At 39.4% G+C, this 21566-nt stretch overlaps 1 long non-coding RNA gene across 2 annotated transcripts in view; it reads right to left on the minus strand.

The window, feature by feature from the left end:
• Positions 1–821: 821 nt before the first annotated feature.
• Positions 822–21566, minus strand: part of LINC02391 (long intergenic non-protein coding RNA 2391) — a 104570-nt gene continuing 83825 nt past the window's right edge. The window contains exons 4-7 of one of the 2 annotated variants that reach the window (XR_007063403.1): positions 14081–14175; positions 10480–10538; positions 2053–2137; positions 822–905 (exon numbers count right to left, since the gene is read on the minus strand). This is a non-coding gene — a long non-coding RNA (long intergenic non-protein coding RNA 2391). The remainder of the gene's footprint in view (positions 906–2052; positions 2138–10479; positions 10539–14080; positions 14176–21566) is intronic. The other variant, XR_007063404.1, reaches the window with a different exon arrangement.

Below are 21566 nucleotides of genomic sequence, written 5' to 3' on the forward strand. Positions count from 1 at the left end.
CTTTGCCAATACCGTACAGTCTTAATTACTGTAGCTTTATAGTAAGTCTTAAAATGAGGGAGTTGATTTCTCCCACTTTATTCTTCTTTTTCAAAATTGGTTTAGCTATTTTAATTCCTATGTTTGTTCATCTAAATTTTAGAAATAGTCTTGTCTCAATCTACAAAACTCTTGCTGGGATTTTGATAGGAATTGCGTTAAACCTGTATATCAATTTGAAGAGAACTGACATCTTCACTATGTCAATATTTCAATGCATAAATATGGTATGTCTCTCTCTAATTAGTTCTTCTTTGATTTCTTTCATCAGCATTTTGTATTTTTCAACACATAATTCCTGTATACATAAGTACATATTTTTTGGTTGATTGTAAATGGTATTGTATTTTTAATTTTGGTATTCATGTGTTCACTGTTACCATATAGAAAGACAACTGATGTTTCTCATGTGTGCTTTTTTGTATTCTGCAAACTTGCTAAACTCACTTATTGATTCTAGTGGGATCTTTTATTGTTTTGTTTGTTTGTTTATTTGCTTAGATTCCATGGCATTTTCTACACAGGAAATCATGTCATCTGGGAATAGGGGAAGTGTTATTTCTTCCTTTCTGAGCTGTATGTCCCTCATTACCTGCTTAAAATGTAACTGTTTTAAATATTTCCTCAGTATACATTTAGAACCACATAAGATGCTGTTATAATTTTTGCTTCAGCCATCAAACATGATTTAGAAGACCCAAGAAAAGAAGCAATCCATTGTCTTTAACCATATTTTTGCTCATTGCACACATTTTATAAATAAACATTTCTCATATTTTCTCTTTCTTCCTAACATTCGAAGGTCCATATTTTATTATTTCCTTTCTGTTTAAAGAACTTCCTTTTGCCATTCTTCTAGAGAAGGCCTGCTGGTAAAAAAAAAAAAAAAAATTCTCTTAGTTTTCCTTTATCTGAGAATATCTTGATTTCCCTTTCATTTCTAAAGAAATTTTCACTAGATACAGAATTCTGCATTGACAGCTCTTTTCTTTCAGCACTTGAAAAATGTTGTACCACTTCCTTCTGTCATGCTTTCTGATAAGAACTCCACTGTCATTTGAGCTGTTTTTCTTCCTTAGGTAAATTGTTGTTTCTCCGTCACTGCTTTCAAGACTTCTTCCTAGTCTTTAATATTTGGAAGTTTGATTATGATGTGCTTTAGATATAGATTTCTTTGGGTTTATCCTATTTGGGGTTAACCCAGTTTCTTGATTCTATAGGTTATATCTTTTGTCAAATTTTGGAAGTTTTCAGCTATTATGTCTGGTACTTTAGCAACCCCAAACTCTCTCTCCTCTTCTTCTAGCACCCCAATGACACAAATGTTAGATCTTCTGGTATAGTGCCACATGTGCCTGAGGCTGTTTATTTTGTTCCCAGTCTATTATATCTTTGTTCTTTGTAAGTTTATTTGTTTCATTTTTAAAAGGAGAGATGTATATACAAAAGTCAGAAGATAAAATATTTCAGATTCTTTCTGATGAATGAGATTAGTAAGCATTTCCTTTTAGAACACAACATCTATGAATTTCAGCCCAGGACTTCAGCCTGAACACAGACCAATCAGTTGAAAGCAGTTGGTACAGTCAGGATCCAGGTGCCCCAGAGAAAAACAACAATACATTCTTTATCTTATTTAAACCACACCACAGAGAAGGTACTACTAGCATTACCACTTTACAAATGAAGAAGATGAGGTTTAAAGAGAGGCAGAGTAACTTGCTAGAATAACAGCCAATTAATGGCGGAGCTAGGATAGAAACCGTGGGGCACCTTTGAAATTATGCCTCATAGACTTCCAACTACAGGATGCATTATTGATTAAGGGACCCAGCTACTGCTCACTGAAACCCATTGCTGGGAATACTATGATAAGTTTGTTCATTGATAATACGGGGTCCTCTGACAGCTAACTTTGTTTTAAGAACTCCTCAAGATCCTTGCCAAATCTCTCCTGGACTTTACTATAGTCTAGGACACTTCAACCCAACCTTCCCTCCCTCCCTCCTTCACCTGGGGTCAGACATGTATCACTGATGATAACTCCCCCAGGCTTTTCCAGCTTCCTCTCCCATTTTCTCCAACACTGGCATTTTCTCTGAAAAAAAAAAAAAAAATCCCTGTATATTTTATCCCATTTTATCATCTGTTTCATGGAGGACCCAATGAATACAATCAGGTAATTCGATGTAAGAGCCCAAGCTATTGAACACCACTATGAACGTGGGAAAAAGAGAAAAAGTGTTTCTGTGGGATTATTTGACATTTCACCGAGAGGAACAAAGAAAATATGTGGGAAGATGCTATAATTTCTTAAATGAAATGCAAGTGCAAGTTGTCATTAGTTAAAGTTCATACAACATGGTTTGCCCTGGGTTCTGCCTGTGTTCTGCCACTGGCCAAGGTGTGGATCATTTCTAATTTATCATTTAGTCTAATGATGGCCTTCTTGTGAGAAGTGCAGGCTTATCATTTTAATGTTTATAATACTTAACATAGCACGTGATTTATCAGGCATGTTGGTAACATTACAACTCCAAGTTGTTTTTTATCCAAATAAACTGAAATTTGGCAACAAGTTTGTAGAAATTGATGTAATTTGCACCCCAGCAATTATCCCCTTCATCACCATTCCAATTTTCTAAATTATCTTTAAACAAGGGTGTGGTGAGTTCCTGGAGAACTGATAATAAACTACACAACCCGTCCTACTTGTCCTACATCAGCAGTTATTGAAAGCTCACCTGTTATCATCTTGGCCTACTCAACTGGAAAGCAAGACTGAGTGTGAGAAGCTCTTGCTCGCTTAGGCTACACCACCTCATTTGAATGAATCGCTTAGCTATGCTCAATAACTAATGCAAAAATGATTCTGTTATTGTTGTTAAATGGACTCCTGACACTGAATAGTGTCAGAATAAACTGAAGCTTACCAAAATGCCAAGAATATTAAGCAGGATATTTCAGAGTATATTGAAATAAGAAGAAAAACATGGAAAGATAAGCTGATTACTTGGAGTAAGTAACACATGGTTCATCTGTGACAAAAACAAGGAAAAGTCATTCATTCCTCTATGATTTCCTTTTTACCATCAAAGACAATAAATTGGAAAATATAAAAAATAGAAGGTCAGTTTAAAAAGGGAATGAAAGCTAGAGATAGATGTGCAGATAAGAAAGTACATGACCATTTTATGAGCTCAAGTCTGGATGAATTACATTCCAAGATACTAATAATCATGGCAAACATTGACTATCAGATGCAAGGGCTTTAAGTGCCATATATATATTATATTATATATATTCTCTATGCCATACATATATATGTATACATTATCTAGAATATACATATTCTCTACGCCAATTAGGGGAAAAAAACGTAGAAGGTAGATGCTATTATCCCCATTTTTCAGATGAAAAAACTGAGGCCCAGGGAATTAAATAGCTTGCCCATGGCAGGGCTGGGATTTGAGCCCAGACAGCCTGACTCTGGAGCCTTCTAGCCAGTGGATGGCTACAAGTCAGCAGCATTGTTATTGCCCAGATACATGTTGGAAATGTGGAATCTCAGCCTATGGAATCAGAATCTGCATTTTAATAAGATCTCCAGGTGATTCTTATGTACACTGTGGTTTGAGAAGCACCGTCCTTGAGCCCATACACTGACCTGCAGTCATATGCTTTGCCACCTCCATCACACTAGAGAACTGTGAATGTGAGTACAGGTCCCTGCATATAACTTTTTGGGAATCATTAAGTATGAGAGGGGTAGAAGGAAATTGGTGATAGATAAAAACCAGGATTTTCAACAGGTTGTCCTCATGTTTAAAGGAGGAGGAATCAAGAGGCTAAAAACCAGTGTAACTGATACAAATTCATGGCAAGTCCCAGGTTAGAAAATTCTAAAATGATCACAAAGAACCAAATTGGGTTCACTAAGAAAGCATTCTATCCTTTGGGAGGCCAAGGCAGGCAGATCACGAGGTCAGGAGTTTGCGACCAGTCTGGCCAATATAGTGAAACCCCCCGTCTCTACTAAAAATAAAAAAAATTAGCCAGATGTGGTAGTGCGCGCCTATAATTCCAGCTACTTGGGAGGCTGAGGCAGGAGAATGACGTGAACCCTGGAGGCAGAGGTTGCAGTGAGCTGAGATCATGCCACAAAAAAAAAAAAAAAAAAAAAAAGCACTCTATCAAATTAACCTGATTTCTTTTTTGGACTGTCACATATATATCAGGAAATGATCACAGTTATGTCACACATGGATGTTAGCATCAATAATCAAATTTGGTAAAGTCTTTCATGATGTACTTGTGGATAACATAGACCCATGGGGAGGACTGGTAGCTAATGGAATAATTATATCTAAAGGAGGCTGATTAATGAATTATTGCACATAAGCAAAATGGTTCTATATCCTTTCATTTATCCAAAAATGTCTATCGAGCACTTCTTATAATCCAAGTACTCTTCTTGGTGCTGGAGATACAGTGATGAACAAGATAATATTCTGCTCTCATGAAATTTCACAACTAAACAAATAAACATAATTACAGATGTTAAATAAAAATAAGCATGCACATTATCTAGAGTGGGAAGGGAAGCCTGTCTGAGGTGTTGACATTGACCAGAGACCTGACTATTAAGACAGAAGCAACCATGAAGGGATCTGATGTAAGAGCATTCTAGACCAAGGAACTAGCAGGTATATGAAGACCTGAGGCTGGAGATATAAGGTTGACATGTTGGCAGAACAGTAAAGAGGCAGATGAAGTCCAAGAGGCCAGGTCAGTGCAGTGTTGAAGGCTATAGTGAATGCAAAGGCATTCAACAGAGAATTTTAATTTGGAGCATGATGTGACCTGATTTTTTAAATTAATCCTGTGCCTATGTAGTCACTGATTTGTTATTTTAAAAGATCATAGACTGCTATGTGGGTAAATTGATGATAATGGGGTGTGGAAGAAAGCTGGATCTAAGTTTGATTCAGTTCTAATCATTTTAATCAGAAATTCAGATGAGAATTCTGCAGGGATATTGGATTTAATGATTAAATTAGTACATACAGCTTAGTTAAGGTCTTATATGAAAGATTTAAGATTTATAATATAAGAGAAGTCTGGAAGTAATGTCCCAAATTAGTGGAAGAAATGTAAAAGGATAAACATAAAGTTTTGAGCTTAGGCTAAAAAAAAGCCTCATAAGTCTAGTATGAGTAGACAGAAACCTGGTTTATCTGGATTTACAGGAAAAAGACAGGTGTTGGTTAACTATTGACCAGTTTGAGACAACATTTAATTGTTTTCAAAATTCTAATGGAGTTTTGGGCTGCATAATAAGATGAAAACAACAACTCTTACACTTGAGTACGTATCAGAATCACTTGGAGAATGAAGCACACACATCCACACACATGAATGCACATAGACATCACTCTACAATTTTTTCTGGCATTATCCCAGATATATCTCTAAGAGTGGGGCCCAGGAGTCTCCATTTTTAAAAAGTTTAGGTCCACAAACCACACTTGGGAATCACTGTTATTGAGTTTCTAATACAAGTATTTGTACTATATTCTCAGCTCATTAATCCACACTGGGCTTTGGGTTCAGTTTAGGGACCATGGGTATAGAATGACTAAAAGGTAGCAGGATTTCTTAGAGAAAATAGTGGCAAGTCCCTTTAAGGTATGGTGTATATAGTTATTTTTTAATTCCTTCTTTGTTTCTCCCTTATTCTCTTCCTGGAAAATTCTTCTATTTTTACAGTGATGGAGAACAAATAAGTAAGTAGCTTATGTTTCACTATTTATATAGCTACTTTCTTATGTTTTACCATATAGAATATATAGCTAATTTTATATATTCATAAACTTTTGACAGTTAGTTGTTACATTTTCTAGAATTAAACACCCCCTTTCTTGCCCCAGGAACATAATGGAAAGAAACGTTACCTAGCGTAAGTCCGTGTGCATGCTGTAAGAGGGACATGTTGAGGAATCAGAATAGTTTTAATGAAAAATAAAAAAAGATAGCGTGGAGTAGGCAAACCACATTATATGAATACTGGGAAACATTGGGGTGGTTATATTGAAAAGGTAACTTTTAAAAAATGGTGAGCTAGGTGTAAGAACTAATCATGTGAGCCTCAGAAAACAGGATTAAAATCATTTCAGATGAGGAAGAGCTTTCTAATAACTATTAATATCTAAACATAGAGTGAATTACCTCTGAAAGAAGGGAGTTCTTCATCCCTGAAGAGATCAACAGAAGATATTGAGGGGACATCTACATTGAATGAGGATATTGACCAGGTGTTTGCTAAGATTCCTCCCAGCACTAATAGTTTGTGATTTTATTTTACCACTTCCATTGAGTTGATCCAAATGATCTGCCATCATACCCTGTTTCCAAAGGAATGCAATCATGGACTTAATCTTATTAAGGCAAGCTGTAGCTATAGTACAGCATTGTAGATCAATAGAAGGATTATCTTTAAACCATAGCCATCTTCCCATAGCATTCAATATAAATCCTTACATGTTTTTAAAGGGCTCTGACCTACATAAGGGATGAGCTTAGTGTAGGGACGGTTGACACCCAACCAAATGGAAAGAAGTAGACTTAGGCTACCACTGCTAAGGCAAAAATACATAAAATAAAAATCATTCTAACTGGCTTTAAATATACTTGTAATTCACTCAGACAGAGCTAACATTTTCTTTTCAATCACTGTTTTGGTTACATAGAAATGAAATTTCAAATCACTCTTCTACAGAAAATCAAGGTATTTAAGCTTTCTGGCATAATGTGGAACTCATTAGAATTTTATACTTAGATTGGAATTGACAAGTTTTAAATTTTTAGATTTTATTTATTTATTCATTTTGAGACAGAGTCTCATTCTGTCACCTAGGCCGGAGTATAGTGGCGCGATCTTGGCTCACTGTAACCTCTGCCTCCTGGGCTCAAGCGATTCTCGTGCCTCAGTCTCCCGAGTAGCTGGGACTACAGAAACACACCATCACTCCCAGCTAATTTTTGTATGATTTTTGTAGAGATGGGGTTTCACTGTGTTGGCCAGGCTGGTCTCAAATTCCTGACCTCAAGTGATCCACCCACCTCAGCCTCCCAAAGTGCTGGGATTACAGGCATAAGCCACTGTGCCCGGCCAGGTTTTAGATTTTTTTAAAAACATCTATGCTTATGAAACTTAAAAATGTATATCCTATTTGTTTGGATGATCTAATAAACTAAAATACTTGCTTCTAAAATAATACTATGATTTGATTATATATTGTATGCCCCTCTACATCTCTGTGATCGTAGATTTATCACCATTTCATAATTAAACAAACTGATGCATAAAAAGATCCCAGATTTCAATGGGAGTCTTACAGCAAATAAGAAAGAAAAAAGGAATTGGTCTGCTTTATGTGGGACCCTGTCTCATTGTCTGGATTATGATTTTTCCCTCAATTCTCAGTCCTCAACTCGGGGATTTGGACAGATTCCCAAGAATGACTGCCATAGGGAGCCACTGTTACAGATAGGAAAGTGTCATATCCCTTGGCATGTTGGGGTGTATAAAAGTGGAGAAATGATGCATCTTAAGCAACCATCCTTGTGCTCTTACTCAAGATACTAAGATAAAGCAGCACTGATTGGTTTTCTTTTAAAGACATTGTGGCAGACACTTGCAATGCACACCTCAAAACCATCTGCCCATCCTCAGTGTTAGCAGAACCTTGTTCAGGAGGCAACATAGCCAGTTTAAAACGCTGGTCTTTTTTGCTAGCTACTGGCTTCCCTGACTTTTCTTTAGAGGTGGCCATGTGACACAGTTAAACTCCTCGGAAATGTTGTCTTTCATAACAAGAAGATAGATGCTTTGTATACTGTCATGTGAGAGGTGATGTTTAGGATTCCTCAGCCATCCTGCAACCATGAGAGTTAGGCCAAAAAGTCTCAGCAATGCCAACCCAAAGTCACTGGAAATAACTAAGGAACTACCAGCCCTGGACTTATTTTTAAGTGAGATAATGAATGGTTTGCATGTTTTAGCCCAAAATAAGTTATGCATTCTGGGCCAGGCACAGTGGCGCGTGCCTGTAATGCCTGCACTTTGAGAGACCGAAGCAGGAGGATTGCTTGAGCCCAGGAATTCAAGACCAGTCTGGGCAATACAGTGAGACCTCACCTCTACAAAAAAAATTTAAAATAAATAGCTGAGCATGGTGGCATGCACCTGTAATACCAGCTACTCGGGAGGCTGAGATGGGAGGATCACTTGAGCCTGGGAGGCGGAGGCTGCAGTGAGCTGAGATCATGCCACTGTACTCCCGCCTGGGTGACAGAGTAAGACTCTGTTTAAAAAGAAATTATGCATTCTGTAATTTTCAGCCAAACACATTATAATTTATAAGCCAATTAGCATTAGTCATTCAAAATCTTTTGCTTGAAATGCTACTTGGATTAATTGTCAGAATAGCACAGCAGTTAAAAATCTGGAATCCAGGTTATACAGTGAGGGTTTAAAGTCAGTGCTACCTCTTAACCTTGCAATCATTAGCAATGTGATTAAACTCTCTGTGCCTTTGATTCCTTACCTGCAAAATGAGAATAATAATAGTCCCTACCCACACAGTTGTCACAAGGATTAAATTAGTTAACACATGTGAGGCATTTTGAAAAGTGACTGGGATATAGTAAGTGCTCAGTAAATGTTAACTATTGTTATTATACTAATGATGCTGTCATTGCTGAAAACTCCTGTGGAATTTTTCATTTGAAATTGCTATTGGAAACTGCCTGAGGATCACACAAGGAGATCATCAGACTCTTTGTTGGTAGCTGTATCTATTTTTTAAAATTACTAGACATTATTTTTTAGAGCAGCTTTAGGTTTACAGAAAAATTGAGCAGAATGTACAAAGAGTTTCCATATAGCCCTTCTTCTCCAGCCCCAGTTGCCCCTATTATTAACATCCTGCTTTGGTGTAGTATATTTGTTACAATTGATGAACCAATATTAATCCATTATTATTAACTAAAGTTCATAGTTCTGTTGTTGGTGGTGGTGTTTTCCTTTTGAGATGGAGTCTCACTCTGTCACCCAGGCTGGAGTGCAGTGGCTCAATATCAGCTCACTGCAACCTCTGCCACCTGGGTTCAAGCAATTCTCCTGCCTCAGCCTCCCAAGTAGCTGAGATTACAGGAATGCACCACCACGCCTGGCTAATTTTGTATTTTTAGTAGGGATGGGGTTTCAGCATGTTGGCCAGGCTGGTTTTGAACTCCTGACCTCAAGTAATCCACCTGACTTGGCCTCCCAAGCCATTGGGATTACAGGCATGAGCCACTGCGCCTGGCCTAAAGTTTATAGTTTACATTTGGGTTCACTCTTTGTGTTGTACAGTTTCATGGGTTTGGACAAATGCAGAATGTCATGCATTCAACATTACAGTCGCATACGAGACAGTTTCACCACCCTAAAAATCTCCTGTCTGCCACCTACTCATCCCTTTCCTGCTTGTTATTCCAGCCCTGGCTACCACTGATCTTTTTATTGTCTCTACAGTTTTGTCTTTTCTGGAATGTCATATAGTTAGAATCACACAGTATGTAGCCTTTTTAAACAGCCTTTTTCACTTACCAATATGCATTTAAGCTTCCTCTATGCTTTCTCGTGGCTTAAGAGCTCATTTCTTTTAGTCACTGAATAGTATTTCATTCTATAGATGTACAATTTTGCTTATCCAGCCGTATCTATTTTTGATCTAAAGTGGTATTAACAAGTTTGATTGCTCATCTTTACCAAAAACCTAATTTTGGTTTCCTTTTAAGGGTTGCCAAAAAATTAAATCCATCCTCTTAAGGCCACATATTAATCATTGGCTATTCAAAAGCTTATGCTATAAGCACTGAAGATAACAATACTTATTTAGAAATAATTTTTTCCCATTTGGATATTAGATACATTTTTATTTTCACTTTTCACATGTGTTTGGTGTGTAGTCTATAGATCATTTGGTAGATATATTTGAGCATGTCTTATATGCCAATAGTTGTGTATACATTGGGAGATTAAGGGAAAAAATCCTTCCTATTGAGGGTTTTAGAGTACAGTGTGGGAGACAGACATGTACAGGAACATCAGGACAGATAGTGGGGGCAGGAAGCACAGAGATCTTTGTGGATACATGAGAGGGTCTCTTGACAGAGACTGATGGGGCAAGGGGAGTGGGGAGTGGTAGGAATTAGCCAAAAGAAAGCAAAACCTTTCCTAGCAGCAGGTGCAAAGCAATGTGAGAACGATGTAGTAGAGAGGAACTTCAAGTTCAATATAGCTGAAGTACATGGACAAATGCAGATGAAGAAAGGAGCATGTCTTATATCAAACAGCAATAGTTGAATAGTTGAATTGTACTGAATACTTACTATGGGCCAGGTACTCTTCTGAGCTCTTGCCATATCTTTGCTTTCATCTTCACAATACCCTGTGAAGTAAATACTATTATTTTATTATTTCCATTTTACAGATGAGGAAACTGAAAGCTGGGGAGTTGATTTATTGAGTCTGAGCTGGAATCTCAACTCAGTCTGGTGCTAGGACACATCCTCTTATCTTCTATGCTGTAATGACTCTCAGGGATATTGTGTCATAAGGATTTTGATCCCAAAGGTAACCAGGGGAGACAGGAAGAATTTTACAACAGAAACACAACATAATCTGTGTATTTAGATCATGCTTTCAAGAAAATTTGCATCTTTAAAATTCCTTGCTTTGCCTAGTATATCCTTTTTTTTTTTTTCTCCAGATAGAGTCTTAGTCTGTTGCCCAGGCTGGAATACAGTGGTATGATCTTGGCTCACTGCAACCTCCACCTCCTGGTTCAAGCAATTCTCCTGCCTCAGCCTTCTGAGTGGCTGGGATTACATGCATGTGCCACCATGCCTGACTAATTTTTGATTTTTTTTTTTTTTTTTTTTTTTTTTAGAAGAGACAGGGTTTCACCGTGTTGGCTGGGCTGGTCTCAAACTCCTGAACTTAAGTGATCCACCCACCTCGACCTCCCAAAGTATTGGGATTACAGGTGTGAGTCACCACGTCCAGCCTTGACATACAGACAGAGATTGATATCTTAACCCCAATGATATCTTCAATAGTGTGATGTATCCAGCAGGTGGACAAAAAGATTTAATTGAGATAATGAAGTGCCAGGCATTTATTTCTAATTAGGCAAAGTGGCAGAGACTCTCTGCCTGAATCCTACATATTCTCTAGAGACTTCCTTGTGTTCCAGCAATGCCTCTGTTAGGTCTCTAACCTAACCTAAGATGCTATTTTGCTAGCTTGCTCTGGCTTGTTTAATGTTGTTGTGATTGTCTGAGAACCCCCAAAACTGCAGCCAAGAAAGTAAGGCCACAATGTCAGTCACTGGAAACATGCACCTCAGAAGACACCTGGTCTACAAGTCACTTTTCCAAGAGGTCAGTGGTTTTGGAGAAGTAAGTATTGTGGGTTATAGAGAAGATGTGGGTCTACAAGAATAAAGATATTCGGCCAGGCATGGTGGCTTACGTCTGTAATCTCAGCACTACGGGAGGCCGAGGTGGGAGGATCACCTGAAGTCCGGAGTTCAAGACCACCCTGGCCAACATGGTGAAGCCCCGTCTCTACTAAAATTACAAAAATTAGTTTGGTGTGGTGGCACTCGCCTGTAATCCCAGCTACTCGGGAGGCTGAGGCACAAGAATTGTTTGAACCTGGGAGGTGGAGGTTGCAGTGAGCAGCCTGGGTGAAAGAGTGAGACTTTGTCAAAAGAAATGAAGATATTCAAAAACCCTTGGAAGCTGTTAGATACTTTAAAAAATGTTTAGATACATTATGGCATCTTAGTGAATCAAAGAAATTTGCTGGTAGAATCAATATTCCATAGATGAGGGTCCAAAAATATAAAGACATAGGAATTCAGTGAAAAATAAAATCAAGCATCATTTTAGTTTCTAGTCTAGGCACTTTAAGGGCAAAGATGAAAAAAATGTTTTAAAATCCAGTGAGAAAAATAAACAAAGGGGATAATAACAGAGATATCTACATAATGTTATGGAGAATAATAGAGAGGAATGGTACTTGTTCTGTTCTGGGAGTTCACAAGAGGTTTTCTGGAAGAGATAATGCTTTAGCTGAGTATTAAAAGATGAGTCAGACATAATTAGCTTGTGAAGAAGGGTAGGATGGGCACTCCAGATTGAAGGAATAACTCCTGCAGAGGCACAGGGCTGGAAGCACACGTGGGAAATTAAAAGAGTATTACAAGCATTATAAAGGGAAAGAGGGAGTTATTGGGAGGTAACATTGGAGACGGCAGTCAAAGAGGGGCTGGATAATTAGTTTAGTGTTTAGTTCTCTAAATGATGGGGAGTTTTTAAAGACTTTCAGCATTTTAGATAGATTATTCAAGCTGTCATGTACAGTCTTAACTAGTTAAGGCAGAAGGCAGAAGGACTAGTTATGGGCAAACCAGGATGACTCTAAGAGCTTGGATTATGGTAGTAGCAGTGGGTAGAAATGAAAGGAAAGAGATACATTTAAAGAAAAACTAATTAGAATGTAAAATCAGCACAACATGGTGATAGATTGGATATATGTGAGGGTGGGTGGAGACGGAAAAGTAAAAGGTAACCAGTTCCAGTGACTGGTGAGGGTAGCACCACTAACAAAGCTAGAAAATTGAAGAGAAGAGCAAGTTGTAGGCTAAGATGTTGACTTCAGTTTGGGGCATGTTGTCTGAGGTGTCCACTGTACACTCAGGTTGAGAAGTCTAGGCTGAGGCTCAGAAGAGAGCTTGGGGCTACAGATATAGATTTGGAGTTCATCAGACTGCAGCGGGTGGTTGAAATTCTGAAGCTGGGGAAGGTTACCCAGGGACAACAGGAAGAAGCATGGCAAGATTAGCTGGCCCAAATTTTCCAAATGGATGTCTGGTGCCAAGTTAGGGCAAAGTCCAGGTGGCTTCAAACTAGTTGGGTCTAGTTATGAGAGACTGCCATAACATGCTCTGCTCAGGGATTCGGGAAATTGGTTTAGAGACAGAGCAAGTTGCTCCAGCAATAAGGAAAATAAATCAAAGGACCCAAGCCAAAAGCCTATAGCTAGTTATTTAAGGAAATCCCCACATTCTATCTCTCAGGAATATAGGTGGTTTACACCCTACAGGATGTTTACCTTTAATTTGTTCTTGCTTCATTAAAGTTACAGTGAGACAGGTGTGAATGTACAAGACCATGCCCTTTCTCAATGGTGAATGATTTTTCAAGGACAGAGTCCGACAATTTGCCGATAGTAAGTTCAGAAGCCTCTCCTGACCTGGTTAGGAAAAATTTGCAAGGGGCAAAGTAGTTGCTTCTGTTGCTTGTTTCAAGCCCTTAAACATGTGCAGATTATCCCAAAGACTACTGGGCAGATGCTGTCTTGCCCTTAGGAGTCGCCTAACCCTAGAGAAGCGTCATTTGGGAGACATCAAATTCCCTGAGCTTGTCCACATACAATAGCTTGTGAGAGCTCCTGAGGAAATAGAGATGATTAAAGAAATTATCATCGGATGGCATGCAGGTCTGTCTTTCCCACCTCCTATGACTTTTGCTACAAAGCAGATGGTGCTGTGGCACTTGTTAGAAGCCTGGGCCTAATTCAAGAGCATTATCTTTGCTTTCACTAAAGCTACTGAATTTGAGGGGACCTGGGGAGAATTAATATACCTCAATATTCCTCTAACATCTTTTCCCTGTGTGATACATCCATTTTCACCTGCTGCTTTCATATTGTATTCCTTTCATCCCTCTGTCTCATATTGAAAGCTTGCTGTGCTGGAATGCCACCTCTATCATTCTTAACAGGCTGCACACACCGTCAGAGTTTGGCAAATGACAATGCCCTTCTAGTGGAAATCTTTTCCCAGGGCCTCTGTCCCAAATGCTCCAGGCCCGCAGGGGTTAACTAGAGTCCCGCCCATGAGCCCATCTCTGGGAAGCTGACCTGCTTCTACTTGCCTGGCTGGGAACTTCTGCAGCCTATTTCATCACCTTCTTGAGTTGGGCAGGGGGGCCGTGGGACAAGGGTAAAAGCCATTGCTATCGAGAAAAAGCAAGAGTAGCAATTAGTGAAATTTAACAGTGCCCTTTAATAAATAATTCACCTCACTTTCCAACCATATCTACACTGTGCCTCTCCTCCAAACCCACTTACAGATCCTCTCCTGCCCTTGGAGTCATTATTGCCCTCAATTCAAGTGTCTGAAAGCATGACTGATGAAAGGTAAGACTCCATTCCTGGCTAGCCGCCACTGGCCACACCCCACGAAGAATCCCAACAGCTCAGTTTGAAGACTTGTCATTAGGTAAGAACCCAATTTAGCATCTCTATGTGTGGTTTGCAAGTTCTTTATACCTTGTTAGTCTAGATTTACGGATAGATGATAGATTGATAGACAGATAGATAAATAGTGTGATTTTTTATTGTACATGTCAATTTGGCTGTACCATGGTGCCCAGAATAATGAAACATCATTCTGAATGTTTTTAGGAAGGTGCTTTTTGGATGAGATTAAAATCAATAATGGTAGAGTTTGAGAACGGCTTATTAAACTTTATAATGTGGGTGTGCCTCACTTAATCAGTTGAAGGGTTGAATAGAACAAAGACTCATCTCCGTCAAGTAAGAAGGAATTCTGTCAGCACACAGCCTTTTGATTCCAACTGCAACTCTTCCCTGAGTCTCCAGCCTGCTGGCCTCCCCCATCAGATTGTGGACTTGCCAAGCCTCCACAATCATGTGAGCCAATTCTTAAAATAAATCTCTCTCTCTCCATATAGATAGATAAAAACTATCATCTATCCATCTGTGTATCTACATATGTGTGTGTGTATCTGTCTATCTATCAATCTATCTACATATCCATCCATCCATCCATCCATCCATCCATCCATCCATCCATCCATCTACCTGCATTAGGATTCTCCAGAGAAACAGAACCAACAAGATGTGTCTATATTTATGGATATACACACATTTAAAGGTTAAATATGTCACTGTTTTCTGGCCAGTTCTTATGAGAACACACTCAAGTACCTGGACTGTTCCAGCCCAGCTCTGTAAGGCAGTCCCCTCATTGAGGAATATGAGCCCCCTCTCTCTTCAGAGGAAATCGCCTCCCTGCCTTTCTGAAACACAACAGCCTCACTTTAACCATTTGCCTTTTTTGGCCTCCCCATATCTGTGTGAATAGTTATTATTCATCTGCTGGACCTTTCACAGAATGCTGGTTGTAAATAGCACTCATCATCCCCCCTATCACCACGCTGGTAATGAAGAGAAATGTGCTGGTAATGAGGAGAGCAGCCGCCATTATAGTAATGAAGAAAAATGGGCAGAAATGCCAGAGGAATGGCACCTCCACTATTTCCTGGTGTAACTGGTATGAGGTAATTGCTTTTTTTCCCATCCTTCCTGCCTTCATCTTCACAAACCACTTCCAAATCCCTTACATTCATCACAAAATAGAAAATTGAACTAGTGCAATAAATTAAAAAGGCAAAAGAGTTTAGCTTTGTGGTGCTAATCTTGAAAGAAAGAAATAAGAATGGTGACGGAATTAATAAAAAGGATAATCGTTTTGGGGATTATTCCTTTTTGTTGTTATTTTTGTCACTACAGACTAAGCCTTCTGTCAACTCCATATAAAGAGAGACTCCAGCAGGAATAACTCTGAATATGCTCTAAATACATATGCCACAGCCACTACCACTACTGAAATAGCACCCACTACATGCAGGAGAATAACACACGAGGCAGGTCTATTCTCACTCCTGCTGCTGGGAAACCCAGGCCTAAGATCAGCGTACAAATCAGGTTTGTATCTACAATGCCTGCTGTACCAAAATAAGCCTTGTTAGGGCAATATTTATAAGTCATGCCATTTTTCTGTTTTGCCCATTTTCAGCACTATACTCTGGTAGGGGTTACTTCAGGTCTAGTCCCTGGAAAGACTCTTTTTATTTTGTTTTATTTGAGATAGGCTCCGGCTCTGTCGCCCAGGCAGGAATACAGTGGCATGATTCTGTGCCTCCTGGGCTCAAGCCATACTCCCACCTCAGCCTCCCAAGTAGCTGAGACGATAGGCACATGCCACCACACCCGGTTAATTTTTGAATTTTTAGTACAGACGTGGTTTTACCATGTTACCCAAGCTGGTCTCGAACTCCTGGGCTCAAGCAATCCACCTACCTTAGCCTCCCAAAGTGCTCGATTACAAGCATGAGCCATCACGCCCAGCTGAAAGATTCTTAAACTCAGGATTTTATAAATCCATCAAGAGAATTAGTAATGACTGAGCCCATACTCTGAAAAGAATTGTGTGCAGATGCTAAAATTAACTTAGGTGTCTGCTATCATTTTAGAGATATGCCCACAGATTCTTTGGTACCTCTGTCCTACCCCATCCCTGTAAGTGTGGGCTGGACTTAGTGACTTGTTTCCAGGGAATAGATTACAATAGAAATGATGGGATGCCGCTTCCATAGTAGGTTTCGAAAAGACTGCAGCAAAAATGGAAACAACATAATACTATTTCACTGCATGTATATATCATATTTTATTTATCCATCCATCTATAAAATGTGGTATATACATGGAACAGAAAATTATTCAGCCTTAAAAAGGCATGAAATTCTGATGCATGCAACAACAGGAATGAATCTTTTAAAAATTTTTTTAATTTTTTTTTTTTTTTTTTTTAGAATTGGGGTCACACTATGTTGCTCAAGCTGTTCTTGAACTCCTGGACTCAAGTCATCCTCCCGCCTCAGCCTCCCAAAGTGTTAGGGTTACAGGCATGAGCCACCATACCTGGTCAACAAGAATGAGTCTTGGAAACATGCTAAGTAAAATAAACCAGACAGAAAAGGACAAGTATCGTATGATTCAACTTATAAAAAGAAAAAGGTACCTGGAGTAAGCAAATTCATAGAGACAGAAAGTGGAGTAGAAGATACCAGGAGCTGGGGATTTGGTGCATGGAGAGTTACTGCTGTTTAATGGGTATAGAAATTTTATTTGAGATGATGAAAAGGGTCTAGAAATAGGAAGTGCTGAGAGTTGCGCAACGATGTGAATGTACTTAATGCCACTGAATTGTACACTTACAACAGATTAAAATGGTAAGTTATATATATATATACACATATATATACGTATGTGTGTATGATATATATATTTACCTTACCACAATAAAAAATTACCCCCTCTCCAAAAAAGAGAAAAAGATTGAAGCTTAAGCTTTCATGTTAAATCTACCCGGCTCCTTTTCTCTTGGACCACTCACTCTGAGAGAAACCAGCTACCATGTCTTGAGGCCACCCAGGGAGTTCTGTGGAGATGCCCACATGGCAAGGAACTGAGACTTTCAGACGACACCACTGAGGAACTGAGGACTCAAGTTAACTGCTTTGTGAGCTTTCTGGAGGCAGAACCTCCAAGCCCATCCAAATTAGATGATGTATCCTCAGCTGACAGCTTGCCTATAACCTCATGAGACACCCTGACCCACGACCACCTAGCTAAGTTACTCCTGGATTTCTGACTCTCAACTGTGAGATAATAGTTTGTTGTTTTAAGTCACTAAATCTTGGGATAATCAGTTACATGGCAATAGATAATCAAATACAGTATAAATAACTCTATATCCAAACTCACAATAATGTTGAATAATATAAATGTATAATGTTAGATAATAATATTTATCTAAAATGGACTTCTACTCCATTCCACAAAGCAACTGGGGGAAACTTTAGCTACTGAGGTTAAGAAAAATGTCTATGTCCTGATCCTATTTCTATCCTTTCCTTGCTTTCATTTAGTTCTCTAAAATATGGCCATCCTCTCTCAGGTTCCATATGGTTCCCTTTCCCACATTTGTCTGTGTGGGAATGGGTATTTTTATTCAACTGCATAACATTCTTGGTATCTCTGCCTGCAGTAACTCAAAATGCATACGTCAAGTGCAGAATCTGTATTTCCACTGTATATTTAGAGCTCCAGATAGTACTTGGTTATTGCATAGACATGCACTAAATAGGAACTCCACAAATAACCCCTACTACCTGCTTCTTTTTTTTTTCCCTCTCACTCTTCCTAAATTCTGCCTATCTTTATTACAGTTATGATAAAGGCAGTTTGTATAGATTATATATAGCTGTGGAGCTAGTAATTGTAACAACCAAAACCACAACCATAACAATTGTAACCAACCATTTCACCACCGATCAATGTCTGATGGGTGTCTAACTACAAGCAACATATAAAAAGGAAGCCCTGGGAATCTGGTTGATCCAGGAATAGCGTTACCTATATGACTTCTGTTTGTTTGTTTGTTTTGTTTTTTGAGATGGGTCTCTCTGTGTTGCTCAGGCTGGTCTCAAATGCCTGGACTTAAGTGATTCTCCTGCCTCTGCCTCGAAGTAGCTCAAATTATTGACACTCACCCCTAATCCCAGCTCCAACTATCTGACATTTGAAGAATCATTCAGTGATGAAGGAAAGACCCAAACAATATCAAAAAACCGAGTTGAGGTGGCAAGACATGAGAAAAACAAGAGAAGACTTCAGCAGAGGACAATGTGTGTAATAAAGTTCACAAAAATGGGTAAGGAACTATGTTATGAAGACAGGCATCTAAGTCAATCCTCATGGGCACCATGGCTCATACCCGTAATCCCAATACTTTGGGATGCCAAGGCAGGAGGATCACTTGAGCCCAGGAGTTCAAGGCCAGCCTGAGCAACATAGTAAGACCCCATCTTTACAAAAAATTAAAAAACTAGCTGAGCATGGTGGTACACGCCTGTAGTCTTAGCTACTCCGGAGGCTGAGGTGGGAGGATCACTTGAGCTCAGGAGTGGAGGGTGCAGTGAGCTATGATTGTGCTAGTGTACTTCAGCCTGGGCAACAGAGGGATTCCCTGTCTCTAAAACATCAATTAATTAATTAAAATAGTCCATCAATCCATAAATACCGAATATGTTACAGGTCATTCCTTTGCTCAAGTTTGGGTCAGGTTTTTAATCTATTTTTTATTTTTTTTAGAGATGGTGGTTTTACCATGTTGCCCAGGCTGGTCACGAACTCCTGGGCTCAATCAGTCCTCCTGCCTCAGCCTCCCAAAGTGCTCGGATTACAGGTGTGAGCCACCATGCCCAGCTGGGTTTGGGTCAGATTAAGTTAGACCTCAGAAGGAATTGATATCATAGGACCTCCTATGTTGTATTAAGAAGTATTCCATTCTTTCTCCCTTGCAAACACCTCATGGGCATGAGAAAGTCATTAGGTATTGGCATCCTATAGTCCTTTAAGCATTTGCAAAGCAGTGTATTGAAGTAGGAGATAGTAGATAAGGGCCCTAGGTCTCCTGCCTTCTCTAGCTCTACAAGATGACCAGATAACCTTGGATATGCCTTTCACCTTTCAGGCTCTCCACTTTGTCTTCAGTAAAATGGAGTCATTCTACCCAAGATGTCTGAACTGGATCAAATGATCCATTGCGATTTCTTCCAACTATTAAATCTACAACTCGATGGGGCTGATTTCTGTTGCCTATAGGGTCCTGCCTAGGGCAGTCCTAGGGAGCCATCTTAGCATGGCCACCTGGATAGATAAAATAATTTTTTCATCTCTACACTGCATGTCCTCCAATCCAGAAGGGAAGCATAGTTTTTACTCTGAAAACTCAAGAATTGTGAGTTGGTTTAAGAGCAAATGGATAGTGAGATTGTGAGCACCTACAGTCAGTAATTTATTTCCAGAGAAATTCTTATCTTAGCAGGAAAGTAGCCCTCCAAGGGGTGGAAACCTGGCTGAACATTCCATTCAATGGGGAAGGCAAGCCTGGAAACTCTGCCTAGAGCAACAAGGGCATTCACAGAAAACTTGGTTTGGGGAATATACATGGATGGTGTCCAGCTATGAAGAAATAATTTTCAGAGGCTAAACTATGTCACTTTCACTGTTTTGGCTGATTCTGATGGCAAATGAGGTTAACTGGTGCTCAGAACATCTTCTGGGAAAGTGAAACAGCAAGCAATTGCTTATTTTTTTTATGAGTTTTTCCATTTCTCATTGAAAGGAAGAATTCTTGTATGGGAGTTCTTAACCAGTAAATGTGGGTAGATCTGGAAGCCTGATTTGATGGTGCTCACGTCAGTGGCCTGGGGTTGTTAAGTTCCCCGAGGAGGAATGGAATAATCTACTGGGAACTCCCCACCCCCATCTCTTGACCTTAAAGCTTTAGGGAAAATGAAAAGCAGCTTCTCTTTGACAAAAAAGGTTGGGAAGCCTTGCTGTGATGTATTACTGTTTCTTTAAAGCTTCCATGGAAATGAAAGATGTTCTCAAGCAAAGGTAGGTCAAATCTATTAAGAGAGTGGGTGAGGTGTTTCCCTCCTGAAAACTGGAGAATAACAGAAAAGAACTTTTTCTGACAAACCAACAGTATCCTTTTGTTTGTTGGAGTTTGTTTGTTTCACATTTATTTACTGAATGTTAGGGAGAAATACTTTAATTTGGGTATGAGAATAGCTAATTACTAGATGAAAAGAAGAAAGGATTTCTAAGATGGAGCCCCCCCCTCCCCCCACTGCCCCCATAGCTTACACATTGTGTAAACCTGCCTTTGATCCCATCCCACTTTCTTCAGCAATTCCTTTTCCATACTCTCAGCTCCTAGAGAGTCATCAGAAAGCTGAGCTCCAGCCGGACTTGGAGGCTCATGCCTGTAATCCTAGCACTTTGGGAGGCCAAGGCAGGAGGATCAGAGGGAATCAGGAGTTTGAGACCAGCCTGGCCAACACAGTGAAACCCCATCTCCCCTAAAAATACAAAAATTACCCAGGCATGGTGCTGAGCACCTGTAATCCCAGCTACTCGGGAGGCTGAGGCAGAAGTGCTTGAACCCGGGAGGTAGAGGTTGCAGTGAGCCGAGATTATGCCACTGCACTCCGGCGTGGGTGACAGAGTGAGACTCTGTCTCGAAAAAAAAGAAAAAAAAAAGAAAAAGAAAAAGAAAGATGATCTTCATCCAGTAACACTGGCCTTAAAAGGCATTTTATTTTTCTCTCCTGCTTCAAAATGGACCCTCTTACTAGAATTAGTTCCATCTTTGGGGGAGATGGGGAAAGAGAAGACCCGAGCAGATCTTTCTTCAAATTCTAATCACATTTTTGAATTAATATGATACCTGCCATCTGTTTATTTCCTGGAAGCTGGGAAGATTCATTTGATATCCAAAAAGCCCTTTAGAAAGCCTAAAAAAACACATGTAAAGACCGTGTAGTGATTTCCTATATCCAAGATTTCTGGGTTTTTTTTGTTTTTGTTTTTGTTTTTTATGTTCCCTGGACACTGGCAATGTTTTGGTCATATAGAGAAGGGAAAAATATTAAACCATTTTTATCTTAGCTGACCTTTACAGAGA

This window comes from Homo sapiens, chromosome 12, assembly GCF_000001405.40.
Source record: "Homo sapiens chromosome 12, GRCh38.p14 Primary Assembly".
Taxonomy (NCBI): domain Eukaryota; kingdom Metazoa; phylum Chordata; class Mammalia; order Primates; family Hominidae; genus Homo; species Homo sapiens.